General features: G+C 43.0%; 1 non-coding gene across 1 annotated transcript, besides 2 other annotated features; it reads left to right on the forward strand.

Moving 5' to 3' along the window:
• The first annotated feature begins 11,068 nt into the window (after window positions 1-11,068).
• Window positions 11,069-11,172, forward strand: LOC124906164 (small nucleolar RNA U13). The gene has a single exon (XR_007088752.1). It is a non-coding gene; the product is annotated as a small nucleolar RNA U13 (small nucleolar RNA).
• Window positions 15,061-15,562: an enhancer, noted in NCBI's record as "H3K4me1 hESC enhancer chr2:130188987-130189488 (GRCh37/hg19 assembly coordinates)". NCBI's record gives its function as "activates a minimal SCP1, AML or CMV promoter by ChIP-STARR-seq in primed H9 embryonic stem cells {active_cell/tissue: H9 hESC(primed)}" and the evidence as "EXISTENCE:reporter gene assay evidence [ECO:0000049][PMID:30033119]".
• Window positions 15,563-16,062: an enhancer, noted in NCBI's record as "H3K4me1 hESC enhancer chr2:130189489-130189988 (GRCh37/hg19 assembly coordinates)". NCBI's record gives its function as "activates a minimal SCP1, AML or CMV promoter by ChIP-STARR-seq in primed H9 embryonic stem cells {active_cell/tissue: H9 hESC(primed)}" and the evidence as "EXISTENCE:reporter gene assay evidence [ECO:0000049][PMID:30033119]".

Genomic DNA, 18,268 nt, shown 5'->3' on the forward strand with positions numbered 1-18,268 from the left:
CTGAAGCCTTCTTCTCTCAGCTCGTCAAAATCATTCTCCATCCAGCTTTGTTCTGTTGCTGGTGAGGAACTGCGTTCCTTTGGAGGAGGAGAGGCGCTCTGCGTTTTAGAGTTTCCAGTTTTTCTGTTCTGTTTTTTCCCCATCTTTGTGGTTTTATCTACTTTTGGTCTTTGATGATGGTGATGTACAGATGGGTTTTCGGTGTAGATGTCCTTTCTGGTTGTTAGTTTTCCTTCTAACAGACAGGACCCTCAGCTGCAGGTCTGTTGGAATACCCTGCCGTGTGAGGTGTCAGTGTGCCCCTGCTGGGGGGTGCCTCCCAGTTAGGCTGCTCGGGGGTCAGGGGTCAGGGACCCACTTGAGGAGGCAGTCTGCCCGTTCTCAGATCTCCAGCTGCGTGCTGGGAGAACCACTGCTCTCTTCAAAGCTGTCAGACAGGGACACTTAAGTCTGCAGAGGTTACTGCTGTCTTTTTGTTTGTCTGTGCCCTGCCCCCAGAGGTGGAGCCTACAGAGGCAGGCAGGCCTCCTTGAGCTGTGGTGGGCTCCACCCAGTTCGAGCTTCCCGGCTGCTTTGTTTACCTAAGCAAGCCTGGGCAATGGCGGGCGCCCCTCCCCCAGCCTCGCTGCCGCCTTGCAGTTTGATCTCAGACTGCTGTGCTAGCAATCAGCGAGATTCCGTGGGCGTAGGACCCTCTGAGCCAGGTGTGGGATATAGTCTCGTGGTGCGCCGTTTCTTAAGCCGGTCTGAAAAGCGCAATATTCGGGTGGGAGTGACCCGATTTTCCAGGTGCGTCCGTCACCCCTTTCTTTGACTCGGAAAGGGAACTCCCTGACCCCTTGCGCTTCCCAGGTGAGGCAATGCCTCGCCCTGCTTGGCTCGCGCACGGTGCGCACACACACTGGCCTGCGCCCACTGTCTGGCACTCCCTAGTGAGATGAACCCGGTACCTCAGATGGAAATGCAGAAATCACCCGTCTTCTGCGTCGCTCACGCTGGGAGCTGTAGACCGGAGCTGTTCCTATTCGGCCATCTTGGCTCCTCCCCTATTTCTCTCATTTTTAAATTTCTTTACTTTTTGTTGTCCGTCTTTTATTTCTGTTTTCCTTTACTGTACTTTCTGTGTTACCTATTTATTTTTCCATATAATTTATTCATTTCTGAAATGATTTTTTTTCACATTTTAGGCACTGTCTTCTCTTTTTCATATTATCCACTTTTTTATGATTTAAATTCTGAGATTTTCTATTTTTTACCTTTGATATTTTTCATAGACTTTATATTTCCTTAATTTTGTATTTTTAATATTAAACTATAGTGTATATATATATTCTAAGCCATAATTTTATTATATGCCTTTAATATCTGTGAGTATATAATTCAGCTATTAATTTTTATGTTTTTTCATCATTTGTCTCCTAATATCAGCTAGTATCATTGTATGGAGTTCATTCACCTCATGGTGGCTTATGGAAAATGAGGTGGTGTTCTGTGCCTTTAGATGGAAGTTCCAGCATAGATCAGAGGTGTGGTTTTCCTAGCTTGACACTTAAGAATTCTCTCTGCTGCTATTATCAAAGTTGCCTCTCTGTGGGGTCACCTCCATAGCTCTGAGATCTGAGTCCCACGGACTTTTTAACCCTGAATCAGAACCTTCTTTTTTACTTACTCTATAATTTGTATCTGGCTACATTTGCATTTTATATCTATTTTTCTTACCAAGGAGTTTTGAATTCTTAGAACACATTTTTGAAGTTTCTGGGAGTTAGGACGGCCTTTAAAAAAAACTCACTTATAAATTAAAGTTTATGCTGGTTGCTCTTAGAGAAGTATCTACTCAAAGTAGGCTCCTCTCCTTCCTATGGGGACATTTGATAGTGATTTCTGGGTCTTTTGGCAGCATCAAAAGACACCATTATCTTATCTCCACACAGTTGTGTATTCTCCATGAAACCTGCCTGAGTTCTGCCATTATAGATGGTTTGGCACCACTCATCCATATTCTGTCTCTATAAACTTACCTACTATGGAAATTTCATGTAAATGAAATTATACATTATGCAGCCACTGTGGCTGGCTTTTTAAAGTTAGTATAACATTTTCAAAGTTAATCTGTGTTGTCACATGCATCAGCACTCCATTGTTCGATGACTGAATAATATTCCATTGTATGGATATATCATATTTTGTTTGTCATTCATCAATTGATGGACATTTGAGCTATTTTCATTTTGGCTATAATAAATAATGCTACCATGTACAAGTTTTTATGTGAACAGATTTTTTTAAGTTCTCTTGATTATAAGCCCAAAGAAAAGAGTTATAGAGTAACTATATAATAGCTATACTATAACTAAATATAGCTATCCTAGTAGTAATGAAGTGCAATCTCATTATGGTTTTTATTTTCATTTCTCTAATGACTAATGAAGTTCATAATCTTTTCATGTGTTCATTGGCCATTTGTATAATTAATTATTAATTTATAAAAATCTAATTTAGATTAGTTACAAATGAATTTCAGTAGTATACAAAACTTTGCTCCTACATAGCTCCTTCTCTATATGCTGTTATTGTTACAAATTACATTTTATATATTGTGGGTCCATCAACAGAAACCAATTATTATTACTTTGTGTCATTATCTTTCGAATCATCTGATCTAAAACTGTATTAATACTGTCTTTTATATTTATCTATGTAGTTATCTTTACTCTGCACCTTTATTTCTTAATGTGAATTTAAGATACTCTCTTGTATCTTTTATCTGAGCCTGAAAGACTCCTTGTAGTATTTCTCATAAAGAAGGCCTGCTATTACACTTTCAATTCCAGAACCTACATTGCATGACGTCTATCTCTTTATTGATATTCCCTATTTGGTAAGACATAACTCTCATACTTTCCTATAGTTCTTTAGACATGGTTTTACTTAGCACTTTGAACATATTTTAAATAGCTAATTTAAAGTCTTTGTCTAAGAAAAACAGTGTCTGGGATTCCTCAGAGACCATTTCTATTCCTTGTTTTTTTCCTTAGCTCTGGTTTATACTCTCTTTTTCTTTGCATGTCTCATATATTTTATTGCTGTTGAATACTGGAAAGTTTCATGCAGCAATTCTAGAAATAAGATCTCCCCCTCTCCACAGGGTTTGCTGTGATGTTGCTTATTGTAATCATAGTGGTTGGTTTGTTTGGTGATTTTTCTGAACTAATTCTTTAAAGTCTGTATTTTTTATAAAGTGTGGCCACTGAAACCTTTACTCGATTAGCTTAGTGGTCAGCTAATGATTAGACAGAGGTCTCCTTAAATGCATGAAACCAATAAATCTCCAAGTATTTGCCTAGGGATTCTGTGTGTATACTAAACACTCAGCAAAGCAATTTACAGTTCCACCTTAGCCTTCACTTCCTGCCCATGCAGAGTCTCCGAGTCAGCTAGAATCATGAGTCTGGGGCATTCTCAGGTATTTCCTGAGCCTGAACACAGCCCTAGCCATTTCTGAGACCTAATAGAGTCTCAAAAGTCTGTCATGTCAGAGCTTTTCTATGCCCCTGTGGATGGTCCATCTTTCAGCTTTTTCATTTTAAGAATTTTAGTTAGCCTATTGCTTTCCTCAACTCTCATTCATCACCTCTGGCAACCACCAACTTAAAACACTTACCTGTAACTTGCTTTAACAAAAGTGTGCACCAAGGAGATGGCTGTTTATACTGGGTGAGCTCTGAGTTACCTTTGTAGGTCAGGTTTTTGTGGAAACCATCAGACAGGTGCCATAATGAGAATTATTTAGGGATGTGATTTTGAAGAAGTTACAACACAATACTGCTCCTTCAGGCGTTGTGAAGCTTTCATAGTAATGTGGGCTGTTATTTTTCAATGGTATCTCTGAGATGGAGAGCAAGAGATGCAACCAGGGAAAGTTAAATGCCACAAAGCTTGCTTGCTGTTCTTATCAAGATTTAGCTGTTTTTCTTAATTTATAAACACTCCGCAGGAAGCCACAGGCAATTTTCTGAAGTTCTGCGTAAATTAATTTGGACAGCTTTTGCCATTTTAGAAATTTCTTTTATGTAGTGTGAAGTTTTGGAGGTCTTAGTCCACTATTTTTACTGACATCATTATGTTTGTTTGAAAAGTCAATTTGGAAATAGTTTTAAAATCTGCTGTTATCTTTAGCTTGCCTCAACTGGAAGGTAACCTCATCTTTGGTTTTTGAGGGTATTTTTCCTCAGTCTTCAAGGAGAACTTTTTAGTTAAACACTTGCATTATAGGAAAACTTTTATTTAAGCACTTTGAAGATGTCATTCCACTGTCTTTTTAATTCTTTTATTTTTGAGAAGTGAACTGACAGTGTAACTGTTGCTTTTTTGAAGACAACATGCACCCCCCCAACAGCTTTTAAGCTTTTCCTTTTTAGTAGGTTTGTGTTCTTTTTATTTATTCTGTTTAGAGTGTATGCACTTTGAATTTTTGGCTTGTTACCTTTTCTTTGTTTTGAAAATATTATTAGCCATAGTCTTCAAATATTGTGTCTTCTACATTCTTATTTGCCTCTCCTAATGGACTTTAATAGCTTTATACCTCTACATTGTATGACCTATGTTTTCACCTTCTCTTTGTATTTTCAATGTATTTTTGATATCCTCTAAATTTTAGTTAAGAAGTTCCTACTTCTGCTGGTGCTGTGGCTCATGCCTATAATCCCAGCACTTTGGGAGGCCGAGGCGGGTGGATCACGAGGTCAAGAGATCGAGACCAGCCTGGCCAACATGGTGAAACCCTGTGTCTACTAAAAATACAAAAATTAGCCAGGCGTGGTGGTGTGTGCCTGTAGTCCCAGCTACTTGAGGGGCTGAGGCAGGAGAATCGCTTAAACCTGGGAAGCGGAGGTTGCAGTGAGCCAAGATCATGCCACTGCACTCCAGCTTGGCAACAGAGCAAGACTCCGTCTCAAAAAAAAAAAAAAAGTATAAAAATGCAAGATAATACCACCCACACTTAAAAACATGATAAAGCTGGATAATCTATACAGTCATAACTTTTCTTAAACTGATATAAGAGCTGAAGATGAAGACAACCAAGTGAACTAAATTCCACAGAATAAAAAGTCCCTCCAAGAATAGACAGAATTCTTTCATTTTTGGCAAAGGAGGAAAAGTAGGCAACCACAAAAATGGATAAGAAAAGGTCATCCCCCAAACTTTACACATCTTTTGAAGATCAACTATGCATGAACAGATCATTTGAAATGATCAAGATCTCAGTCAGCAAGCAAGCTTTCAATCACTGGCAAGCTTCTTTCATTGAACCTCCAGAAGTACAGAGATCGGGGAAGCAGACATAGTGAGCCCCACTTAGTGGACTGGCAGGAAGGCACTGGCTGCTGCTCTGAGATGGGCAGGGAGCACTGACTGCTCCCTTTACCTTTCCTCTTGCAAAATAAAAACCTTAAATTACGGGGGGAGGAACAGAAAATTCCCCTGTCCCTAGGACCTAACCAAGGATCCATTCTTTCTGATGTAAGAGTACACATGAAAGACTTCTGTCTTCCGCGAAGAACAAGGAAAAGTCAGGCAAACTTCTGCAAACCAAGGGCATTTTTAAATCAGATTAAGGAAAAAGAGACATGTAGAAAGTAACAAAGATGAGAATTACATTATCATTATAGTCAGTGGCCATTGCCAGATCTCATGGAATAGGCAGCTGAAATTTCATAGCTAGCAGATTGGTGTGACCACTTTTTTCATTATTATAAATGACTGTCTAGGACTCGAGGAATGGACATTCATCTGTCAAAATTTCCAGGCAACTTGCAAGGAATGCTATTTAATTCTGAAGGACATATAATTCACTTATGCCTCACCACTATAAAGAGCCTAAGAGACCAGTCCCAGAAAAGAGAGATAATTGGAAATGATTTTTCTCTTGCTCCTAGCAGACCATTAGGAATAATTACATCATGCTGTATACCCCTCTTTAGGTTGTTGTAACAAGAAGCCCAAGGCACTCCTCATGAAGACTCTCACTGAGTTTTCTCTTTTACTTAATCCTACTCAATCTCTCAACAAGCCTTCATCACCCAAGTCCTTCCACTCTGCTCCGCGGATTGCAAACCCTCATCGGCAAAATAATCTATATGGTAAATCTCTTCTTTGAAAATTCCCTTCACTCACTTGTTCTAAACAAAACTTAGCTTTTCTCTGAACACATGTATTTCTCTATTGCCCTAGGAAGTGCTGGAATTGTTCTCTCCTACAGCTCATATAACGTCCACACAGCATAAAGGTGCAGTTGGTAACCTTGTTCCACAATTGTTGTTTTCTTCAGAGCACTATGTCTCCATCCTTTCTGAGACTTCCTAGGCCCTTGGAAGTAAGTTCTATCCATGCTCGCTCCTGTCTCATTTCCTGTACTTGCTACCTCCCTCCTTTCACTGTTCCTCACTGAGGCCACTAGTGGAGAATTTTACTGCCTACCTTTTGCTTTTTCTCTGTAAGTCAGTTGAAGCTAAAACTCCAGCCTTACACTATATCAGAAATCTGACTGCTTCTCCATGACCACCCTGGTCTACACCACCCTCAGCTTTCTCAACCTGACAAATAAAATAGCCTTCTCCTTAGTATCTGTGAACCCACTCTTGCCCAAGTATAGCCTGTTCTGTCAAATAAGCCAAAACAAGTCTTTTAAAATTTAAGCCTATCACATTAATGGTCCTCACTGCACTTAGGATGAGGCGTCAAAGCCTCATTGAGACTTACAACCCACGTTTATCCCTTTCCCACTTACCTCTCGCCAGTTACCAGCCACGCTGGTCTTGCTATTCTTCAAGCTTGCCAAGCACATTTCTGTCTCAGCATCTTTGCACTTGCTGTTTCCTCTCTCTGAGTGCTTTTCCTTCAGCAGACATAGGGCTTGCTTCCACTCCATCCCCTCTCTACTCACATGTCACCAGAGCAGAGGTCTCCCCGACCACCTCGTCTAAAAGAGCATGCCTGCCTTCTCACTCGCTCTAGCCTTACTTTGCTTCATAGCACCTGCAATTCATTATGTTCTGTTTGTTATGTGTATGTACTTTCATTAATAGTTGAGTGCTTATTGCTAATAAAGTGTTTATTTCAGAATAATTTTAAATTTCCAGAAAAAAATGGTAAAGGTGTAGTACAGAGAGTTCTTTCTCTGTTTCTCTTTCTCTCTCTCTCTCTATATATAGGTATATATATACACATCTAGATATATATCTAGGTGTGTGTATATATATGTGTATATATGTATATATATGTGTGTGTATATATGTATATATATGTGTGTGTGTATACATATATATTCCATGTTTAGTGTCCCATTTTATTAACATCCTACCTTAGTGTGAGACATTTCTTAAAGCTAATGGCCCAATATTGGTACATTATTATTAACTACAGCCCACCCTTTACTCAGATCCTCTTACTTGTAACCTGATGCCCCCTATCTGGCTAAGATCTCTTCAGGGGCACAACATTCCCTTTAGATATCAAGTCTCCATAGGCGCTCCTGATAAGTGAGAGTTGCTGACTTTTCTTGTCTTTTTGTGGCCTTGACAAGTAGCAGGGGTACTGGTTAGAATGTTCCTCAATTTGATTTTGTCCGGTGTGTTTCTCATGACTATATTGTGGTTGTGGGTTTTAGGGAGAAAGACCACAGAGGTAAAGTGACATCTTCATCAGGTCCTATCAAGGGAACATACTATCAACAAGGCTTATAGCTGTTGATGAAAACCTTGGTGGTTAACATGTCCTTTCTTCTTACTTGACATGTATTTTTTGTTCATGAAAAGCTGTTTAAATTTTATCAGCAATGCAATAAACAATCAACAGCACTTGAGTTAAAGAAATTTAAGACATTTGGTTTTTTTTTTTTTTTACTCTCCAAAGTTTATTTTTATTATTATTTTTAAATTATACTTTAAGTGCTAGGGTACATGTACACAACGTGCAGGTTTGTTACATATGTATACATGTGCCATGTTGGTGTGCTGCACCCATTAACTTGTCATTTGCATTAGGTATATCTACTAATGCTATCCCTCCCCCCTCCCCCCACCCCACGACAGGCCCCAGTGTGTGATGTTTCCCACCCTGTGTCCAAGTGTTCTCATTGTTCAATTCCCACCTATGAGTGAGAACATGCGGTGTTTGGTTTTTTGTCCCTGTGATAGTTTGCTGAGAATGATGGTTTCCAGCTTCATCCATGTCCCTACAAAGGACATGAACTCATCCTTTTTTATGGCTGCATAGTATTCCATGGTGTATATGTGCCACATTTTCTTAATCCAGTCAATCTCTGAAGGACATTTGTGTTGGTTCCAAGTCTCTGCTATTGTGAATAGTGCCGCAATAAACATGTGTGCATGTGTCTTTATAGCAGCATGATTTATAATCCTTTGGGTATATACCCAGTAATGGGATGGCTGGGTCAAATGGTATTTCTACTTCTAGATCCTTGAGGAATCACCACACTGTCTTCCACAATGGTTGAACCAGTTTACAGTCCCACCAATTGTAAAAGTGTTCCTATTTCTCCACATCCTCTCCAGCACCTGTTGTTTCCTGACTTTTTAATGATCGCCATTCACACATTAAAAATATTAGCACACTTTATCCTAAGTAAACATCAAAAATGGCTACTTTACATGGACTCATTCCTAATATAGGAACTCCAGAGTCTTTTGTTCCCCAAATTCCATTGACTTACCAGATTCTCTTGTATTACTACGGCAGTTTAGTTCTAATTTATCAACTTACTGGAATGCATGATATCTTTTGTCATGATTATCTGTCATTTCAACCACCCTGAATCTTAGGAGCACCCTTGTGAACATTCCTGTATTTGCCTCCAGGGCTAGCTACACTTTTCCAATACAAATTCAAAAAATTATTTTTTCAGCTTCCCAGGAAGAAGACATGTGATTTAGGTTCTGCCTATTTTCTGAACCCATGTAAGACTTTTGAATGGACAGGAGTTTACTTGGGGATAGAGGGAAGCACTGGACCTTCATGGTTCTTGAGCCAATGCCTACAGGGAGGTCATTACATAGGACCAGAGTTTCTGATCATGGCGGGGGCAGCAGCTCCTGTGGTGACCTGGCTTACCGTGTGGTGTAGGATGTTTGTTGCTCCTGGAGGCTTAGCCTACGTGCTGTTTCTTCAAGCCTCCCAAGAATTCTATGAGCTTATCCCTTAATAAACCCTTTGTGTATTAATCTACTAACATGAATCGTTTTATGCATCCAAGACCCGAATCAACACTTAGAGAATTATTTCCTAATATTTGCATGAAGGCTCACAAAAACATTAAAACCAGTCATTTAACATTACTTTAACTCTTGCTGGTTTTGTTATTCAATATTATTTACTTAATGCTCGTGACTTTCACACTTTAGTTTTCCACATAAACGTGTCCTTGTGGAATACTGCTCCTTACAATTTATTTTTATTTATTTATTTATTTATTTTAAGATGGAGTCTCCCTTGTCACCCAGGCTGGAGTGCAGTGGTGCAATCTTGGCTCCCTACAACCTCCGCCTCCTGTGTTCAAGTGCTTCTCCTGCCTCAACCTCCCTGGTAGCTAGGATTACAGGCCCCTGCCACCACGCCCAGCTAATTTTTTTAATGTATTTTTAATAGAGATGGGGTTTCACCATGTTGGCCAGGCTGGTCTCCAACTCCTGACCTCAAGTGATCCACCTGCCTCGGCCTCCCAAAGTGCTGAGATTACAAGTGTGTGCCACCACTCCTGGCCAGCTTTTTGAATTCATGGAAAAATACATTGCTATAAAAATACAAATATTCATGTGTATATAATTTAAAATTCTCCTCTATTTCCCAGTGGTAGGAATGCCCTATTTTGGCAAACTGTATTCCATACCACACCTTTTACTGCCTTGAGCTATTCTATATCAGTTTCTATTTGCAGCAGGCTTTTCTAGAGCATTTATGACCCCAGCCCAGAGAGGCCAGACAAGTGCTAAGGAAGTTTTTTTCTGAGACTTTGCGTCGGAATTATCTTGTTTCTTTACATATAATGAAGAGTAAAGTATTCTAGAGCCTTAATAATTTTCAGAACTCTGTAAATATTATTCCATGTTTCCTAATTTTCAGTATTTTAGTTGAGAAAGTCATTTTCTCTGTTTGATGCTTTTTTAAAAAAAACAATTTTGTCTCTTTTTTGGCTGGTTAAAAACATTTTTCTGTGTAGATGAAATTGAGAAATGTCAGCAGGTGCTGCCCAGTTTTCAGTATTTTCTTCAGTTACTTTAATCAACATTTAGTGAGCTCATTCAGTCAGAAAACTCAGGCCGTTAGTTCAGAGAAACAGTTATTTCTAGCCTTCCTCCATCTGTTCAGTTCTGTTCCTATGGAATTTCTAATGTCCATGTATTAGGACTCTTGGGAGTCTCCTGTCATTCATATTTTTCCTCTGTTTATCACTTTCATCTGAGCTTCAAGAGATTCCCTTGAACTAATTCAATACTTTTTGTTTTTTTCACTCTTCAGTGTGCCATTGACTTCAGTCACCACACCTTTTGTATACTTACCCCTTCTTGAGATGACTGCTTTCTGCAGCAGCCTGTGGCTGTTCCACCGTGTCCCTCCACCTTTTCCTCTCTCAAAACACATGATTTGGGGTTGTGGTTATTATTGTTGAAGTCATTTTTTCTCTCTTTTTACTCTTCTTTTCTCCTCCCCATAGTATCTTTATTTAATGATAGGAATCCATTTGCTTTAAATGGTCACACTGGGGTGGGCCGGGTGACTCACGCCTCTAACCCCAGCACCTTGGGAAGCCAAGAAGTTCAAGCCCAGCCTAGCCAACATGGCAAAGCCCTGTCTCTACTAATAATACAAAAATTAGCTGGGCATGGTGGCGCATGTCTGTAATCCCAACTACTCGGGAGGCCGAGACAGGAGAATCACTTGAACCCGGGAGGCGGAGGTTGCAGTGAGGTGAGATCGTGCCATCGCACTCCAGCCTGGGCGACAAGAGTGAAACTCCGTCTCCAAAAAAAAAAAAAAAAGTTCACGCTGGATGTTTTTGTGGTTTATGAATGTGATGATTGGGTTTTCACACTCAAGTGTGAGACGTGCCTCTCTCAGATCTTGTTCCAATGTCAGTACATTACCGATCTGACATTTAAAAAGAAGTGTTCACACTGGTACTGCTCTTTGGGATTTGTAGCCTTTCCATTCTGTGATCTTGCTCTTTGCAAACATTCACATAGAGATACCTGGTTCATTCATACTGAGAGTTGAGATGAAATCTGTCAGATGCTTTGTAGGTCAGTGTTCAATTTTTTATGGTTACTCACTGTGAGATATAATTTTGCCTTTTCTACTAGTCGAGTTATTTCAGTGGGAAATAACTGCAGGAATTGGTAGAGGAAATTGCTTACGTATTCTCACTTAGGATACTATCTTGATCCTGGAGGACCTTAGGTTTATTTCTTTAAATATTACCATAGCGATAACTGTAAGATAACCTCTTACATAGAGATAATAGTAAAACAAAACTACAGCAAAATACACCACTGTGTTTTGTTTTGTTTTGTTTTGAGGTCACTCTTGTTGCCCAGGCTGGAGTGCAATGGCACGATCTCAGCTCACTGCAACCTCCGCCTCGTGGATTCAAGTGATTCTCCTGCCTCAGCCTCCTGAGTAGCTGGGATTACAAGAACACACTACCATGCCCAGCTAATTTTGTATTTTTAATAGAGACGGGGTTTTGCCATGTTGGTCAGGCTGGTCTCAAACTCCTGACCTCAGGTGATCCACCCACCTTGGCCTCACAGTGTTGCTGTTTTTAAAAGAAGAATGCAAATGAGGCCTGGCTTGCAGGCATTTTTGCCGGGGTGGTTTCCATGCGGAGGCTGCCTTCCCTGGTGCTGTGCTCTGTTAGGTAGCACCTACGGAATTGCAGCACGCTCCTCCAGGAAGCTCATCTGTCTGGAGGCTGAAGCCCCAGCAGTGCCTGCACAGGGCTTGCTCTAAAGCTGCCAAAGTCCCCACTGTTTTGCATATGACATAAGCTCATGCCTGCCTAGTCTGCCAAGTCCTAAACGGCCAAAACTTCAACACCTGTGAGCCCTTCCTGAGCAAGCCTGCTCACTGCCTGTGTGCACCTTCTATAAGTATTCTCAACAATTCTCCGGGACTTTCCCAGGCCTCCCTCCGATGCCTTTATCCACTCCTTGCCTCCCATCTGGGCTTCTCCATGTATGCTCGGTCCTTCCACAGATAGACGTACCATTGTGACTTCCTGGGAGCCTCTTTGGCCCACGTGATGTCTAGGTCTACCTGCTATCTCCATTTGTTACAGCCTTTGGTCCATACACCCTGGCCCTAGGGCCTACCCCAGGCCTCAGCACACCTCCCAGGTAGCCCTGCCTTGCCCAGCCCACTGTTGACAGGGGACAGGCTTCAGAGAGCTGTTTCCGACCTGTCCCTGTGAGGTGTCTGAAGGCAGACAAGCTGCTCCTTAGGCAGGTGCATGGATGCTCTGCCCTCCCTCCACCGTGCTGGTTGCCCCAGATCCCATGGAGAGTTGCGCTGAGCTCAAACTCATCGCTGGGTAACTTGCCAGCTCTTTGGTGTCTTATTCTTCTTATTGTGCCATCATGTCTTAGGCACTCATTTTCATCCCTCAGTCAGAATGTAAGCCTGTTGAAGGTTTTCTGTTCCTTTTCTTGTTTTTTCTTTTTTCTTTTCTTTTCTTTTCTTTTCTCTCTGGATGGAGTCTCACTCTGTCACCAGGCTGGAATGCAGTGGCATGATCTCAGCTCACTGCAACCTCCACCTCCCGGGTTCAAGCGATTCTCCTGCCTCAGCCTCCCAAGTAGCTGGGATTACAGGTGCGCACCACCACGCCTGGCTAATTTTTGTAGTTTTAGCAGAGACGGGGTTTCACTGTGTTGGCCAGGCTGCTCTTGATCTCTTGACCTCGTGATCCACCTGCCTCGGCCTCCCAAGGTGCTGGGACTACAGGTGTTAGCCACTGCACCCAGCCATTTTCTTTCTTAAATTGCAAACAGATTTAGAGCTAAAGTTTTAGAAAGACTTGCATGTAACTGTACTCTAATTGCTCTCTTCTGTGACAACTGGGCAAGATACTCAACCATGTTAAGGCTTATATTTCTTGACTGTCAAATGGTAGTAACACTGATCAAGAAGGATTCGGGGACCACCGGCAAGAATACTGCGAAATGTCTTGTATTCACAGGAACATTTCATTAATGACTTTTCTTTTCTCTTTTTTCTTTTTTTTTTTTTTTTGCCTAGAACAGGACTATACAAATAGGATAAATACTCTGTACCCATATTGAACAAACAAATCACATTGTGATTAACAGTAAGAGACCAAGAGTAATGCTTCTAGTTCCAACTTGCCCACTGAAATATTTTGCTACATGGGTTTATGTCTCAAATTCCATAATCATTTTTATGATTAGTTCCAACATGACTCCTTCCCCAGGTGAAAAGTGAAGCTCTCCTGAGTTCAGGCCACCACTTCAAGCCCAGGACTTGCAACACTCCCTCGGGAGGGCCAGCTGATGGTGTGGCTTTTCTCCAAACTGCACCAGAGTTCATCCCTGAGAGTGATCCTGGTGACCATCTCAGACACCCATGTCTGTGTTCACCCAGGCTCCTCCCCTGCCCCATCCTTCAGTGCCCCTTGCTGACCATGGTTCCGGGCATCAGACATCACAACTACTTCCTTCTGGATCTCCAGGAGCCCTTCTTGCCTACCTGCTCCACCCAATCAGAGCAGACTCAGGAGCATCCAAGAGCTGCAGGAGCCTGTACGTCTTCAAATATCTCACCACCTAGTGGGACCCACAAACCGCCATGCACTGTGATGTGCAGCCTCAGGAATATGTGTCATGCTCGCGTGCACTCAAAGCAGACTCTCTTCTCTGGACCTGAGAGGATAAGCAAGTCTTTGAGGAGGAAAATGAGCTCACAGGCAGACCTGGCTTGAACACAAAGCACCACTCCACTGCATGGTCACATGCTTGTACCACCTGCATCTGTGAAATGGGATAATACCTCCTCCTCTAGTCATGGTGCAGATGGCATTTGTGAAGCACTTTGAACTTATGTATCTTATAAAAGTTATCCATCTCTGTACTGAGTCCCAGAAAAATAGTTGAGGTTGGTCTAAGTTCATTTATCCATACAGTTACCATTTCTTAGTCACTTACCCTGTGCTCATGGAAGGGAATGAAGTGATGCGTGAGACACATTCTCTGTCTTTTGTCTAATGGATGAAAACACAGCTCTCCCCAGGGGAGCGCAATGGGTTCTGTCATTAGGTAACTGATGCCAAAGATGAAATGACTGTCAATTAAAGTCTCCTTCTTCCTTCAACATCTTTGCCATCAAGAGTGGAGTGCAGGCAGCTTTCCAGCCCATGCCAAAGGGGAAGGCAGGCATCCCCACAACAACCAGACATCATGCTCTTGGCTGAGGAAAGATTCTGCCTTCCAGGCCTGGGCCGGAGTGGGATGCGATTCCAGGATTATGGCAAGTAGCAATAAATTACAGTGCAAGCCTCAGCTGCCCTCCATGCCTGAACCTGACTACAAGCCAGGCTTAGGAACACAGTTAATAAAAATTTTTTTAAAAAAATAGAGCAGCCCTATCCTCTTGCTTAATCCCTCAGAACTGGAGAAGCTGTCTCCCAGGGCTTGACTTATAGGCCCCTAGAGAGTTTGCTGCACCCCAGGACCAGCCCAGCAGCACACAGAGCACAGGATAGAGGCGCCGTCTGCCCCGCGCATACCTCCTGATACCTGCAGAGGAGTCCACCATACTCAGCCCTAAGGCAAGTAGGGATTTGACAGCTCCAGGGAGGATGCTCCGGCTCGCTTCTGGCTTTTATAACTGGCCTCAGTGGGCGTATTTCACACTTTCCTGCTTGGTCTTTAGAACTACGATCGATAAAAGGCTTTTGCATACCTCTCTAGTGACTTCACAATCTACAAAGGAAAAACAAATTGTCAAAATAAAAAGAAAATCTTCAAATTCCTTCACAAATACAAACAGAACATTTAATATCAATGGAACATGCTGAAGGTTAGAAAAAGTGGACAAATCACACCTTGCCCTTCCCCTGAGGAATCCCGCAATCTGTGAGCGGTGGGGTGAATGGAAACAGAACCAGGATCTGTGGTCAAAGTCCAAATTCACACAGAGTGCCTGGGAAGTAAGTCAAGGGAGCTTCCTCAGGGGCTGAGGACTGAGCTGGGTTTCAAGGAATGGCAGTTGGCCGGGGAGTGGGGACGCAGGATCAGATCATCACGGGGAGGGTTTCTGTGGTCCTGCGAGAGCTAAAAGGAGCCTAGCACTCGCTAGGAACCCCTGATGTGCAGCAGGGGACCACGCTGGCAGAGCGGAACCTGAGAGGTGAGCCAGGCACACTGTGGGCAGCTCTGGCACCAGGGGAGATCTAATCTCTGCTGTCACCAGGGGAGTGTCACAGGCAGGGAAATGGCACTGAACCACTCCACACACACAGAACAGAACTGAGAGGAAGGAGACCACAGACATCTGACAGCACCCACCATGGCGCCAAGACCCAAGATTCAGCTTCTCGAGAGACCATCCAGGAGGCAGGAAGGCAAGCCGGGCAGAGGGGCTGCTCTCCAGCCCCTTTTCTTCACAGGGTGGCCCAGGCACGGAGCTGGCTGCTGTGTTGTGGTGCCACAGGCCCGTGCACACCAGCCTCCCAGGACTCGGCTGGCCTCTACTTCTGCCCCCATGAGTGCTCTTCCTGCCTGCCCCAGGGCCTTCGGCCCACACTTGTCCTCACTGCTTAGAGGCTGGTGTATGCTGTCACCCCACTGCCCAGCAGCCAGTGACATCACTCACTTTGGCCACCAGCCCCAGAAGGAAGCTAGTGTCCTCCAGAATCTTATGCCCATGGGACATATGCACAGAGAGGACCAGCACTTTCTGTCACTGGGTCTGATGGAGGGAGGAGGTTTTGCTGGAGTCGGCTTTCACTTTCATGCTGCAAACTCCTGAGTTTGTGGGCCTGATCCCAGCCTCTGGTCCTCTCTCTGAGACAATCGCCCCCGTAATGAAAGCCATCCTTTGTGGGGCCATGAGTGTGCTTGCATGGTTTAGGTGCTAAATGTGGCAAACGCACATGCACCTAGGACAGCCCAGCTGAAAGCAACAATGCCTGCTCGCACCTATCTAAATGGCCGGGGTGACACTTACCAATGCGTGCGTCACCAGTGCATGCTGGGTCTCCCTCACATTCAGGCCATGCGAGGTTCATTGGTGCTTTGGATTTTAGAATACAGAGTGACTGTCTCTGATGAGTGATGTCTTCTAGGGGCATCATGGGCTGCTCCTATGTGGAGCCCAGCTGAGCAGCAGTGAGAGGCTCACTAGAGTCCTGTGTTCAGAGCAGAATTAGTACCACCACATATGATGCTGTGTCCTCACATGTGTGCAAGCGATAACAGGCTAGCATGGCAGCTCTGGTAATGTGGACGTGGCGGCTAAGAGTCAGTGCCATGAGTGCCGTCTCTTCCAGTTCTTCTGTCCCTTGGAGAAATAAAGCAATCAATGCCTTGCTCATTGTCAAACCTCTTGTAAGAGGATGGTGGATGGAACTCAGTGAAGGCTGCATGCCCTGACCTGTTATTTTCAAGCCTCAGTATTATACCATGGAAGCTACTGCACTATTTCCACCAGAACAGCACAGCCACACATGACCACGCACTCTATTACATGTCGGACATTTATCAATAATAGCTCAAGGACAAAAGAAGCTTGAGGTTACAAGAGGCTTTTGGCAAAAGCATCTTACTAAGTTGCATATTTAGGTGCTGAGGAAAGAAGCCTCAAACAGTAGTGAAAATTTGTTAAACTCTATGTGCTCAGAAATGGCAAAAATAACATGGGACAGAAGGAGCCAAGAGCAGCTTCTGCAGATTTCCTTGTTAAATTGCGTAAACCTCCCCCGGTATTCTCCAGACTCAGTGGAGAGATCTTGCAATGATACTTCATGGAAGGTGTCAAAGCAAGTCCTCTTAAAGTGGGTACTCAAATCACCTTGGCTACAGGCAACTCTCCGGATTTTAAAGAGATCATTAAAAAAATAAGAACTTTTGTAATCAACCAAGGAATCAAAAAGAATTGTTATACATGATCTCGACAGAGAATTAAAGAGTAAGAGCCAGTTCATTTGGAACCAACAATATCCTACAGCATGAGAAAAATTAATCAAGATCTGTTCTCTGTGTGAAAAGAGTAGCTCACGTGATCTCCACTCTCATTTATTTGCCAAAAAAGATACTGCCTCCATAATTGCAGGATGGGTGCCCTCCTAAGCTGACTACCACAGGTGTCATCCAAGACTCATTCTAAGCCAATGCCTCTCCCTGGCTGGTGGAGCTCACTTGGCATGGAGGCCCCTATATGCGTTATTCCACCTCAGGCTTGTTAAAATCATCTGAAATTTTAAATATCGATTAATTTATTTGCCTCCAAATGTAATATTGTTGATGGCTTTGAAAATGCAGGGTTTGTCATTTGCCTAAGCTCTTCCCCTGTCTATTCTTTATTTGAACTCCTTCTTCAATGCCAGTGGCAGGGTCTGGTGGTCCTGGTGTGCTACACTGACCCGTGAATCCTAAGACGGGGAACAAGGAATGGGGGAAGCTCCGGATGTGGGTGGACACTCCATCTCCCTCTCAGTGATTCTCCCTTTCCTACAGGCTGACCTGCTTACCAATGCCAGCATGTTCCTTGGCAGCAGAGTTGAAAGTCACACATGTGAGCCTCATTGAAAGAGTGGTTCATTCATCTGGCTTCATTCTAGGTCCTGTAGCCCCTCTGGTCTATACAGGAAGCCTCCATGTGGAGCAGCCATGCTCTCTGAGATTCCACTCAGGGTATTAGGGCCAAAGCCAAATAGCAAGTGCTCCTTTGCTAATCATTATTCTCACCCACTAGAGACCTTCTGATGCACACAGCTAGACTAGGAGGGTGTTTAGAGTCCCACGTTTCAGACAAAATACGATTATCACAAACCATCTGCTGCAACAGAGCCATGCTGAGGCTGCGGTGGTGGGAACAGCCCACCCAGGGGTCAGCAATAGGGGATGCATTGCCTGGAGGGGATTTTAAAACAATATGAAAACTTACTAAAAGTTGATTATCACCAAGTTTTTATTACCACCATTCTAAAGAATGTTGGCAATAACATGCTTCTCTC

The sequence above is a fragment of the Homo sapiens genome, chromosome 2, assembly GCF_000001405.40.
Source record: "Homo sapiens chromosome 2, GRCh38.p14 Primary Assembly".
NCBI classification, from domain to species: Eukaryota; Metazoa; Chordata; class Mammalia; order Primates; family Hominidae; genus Homo; species Homo sapiens.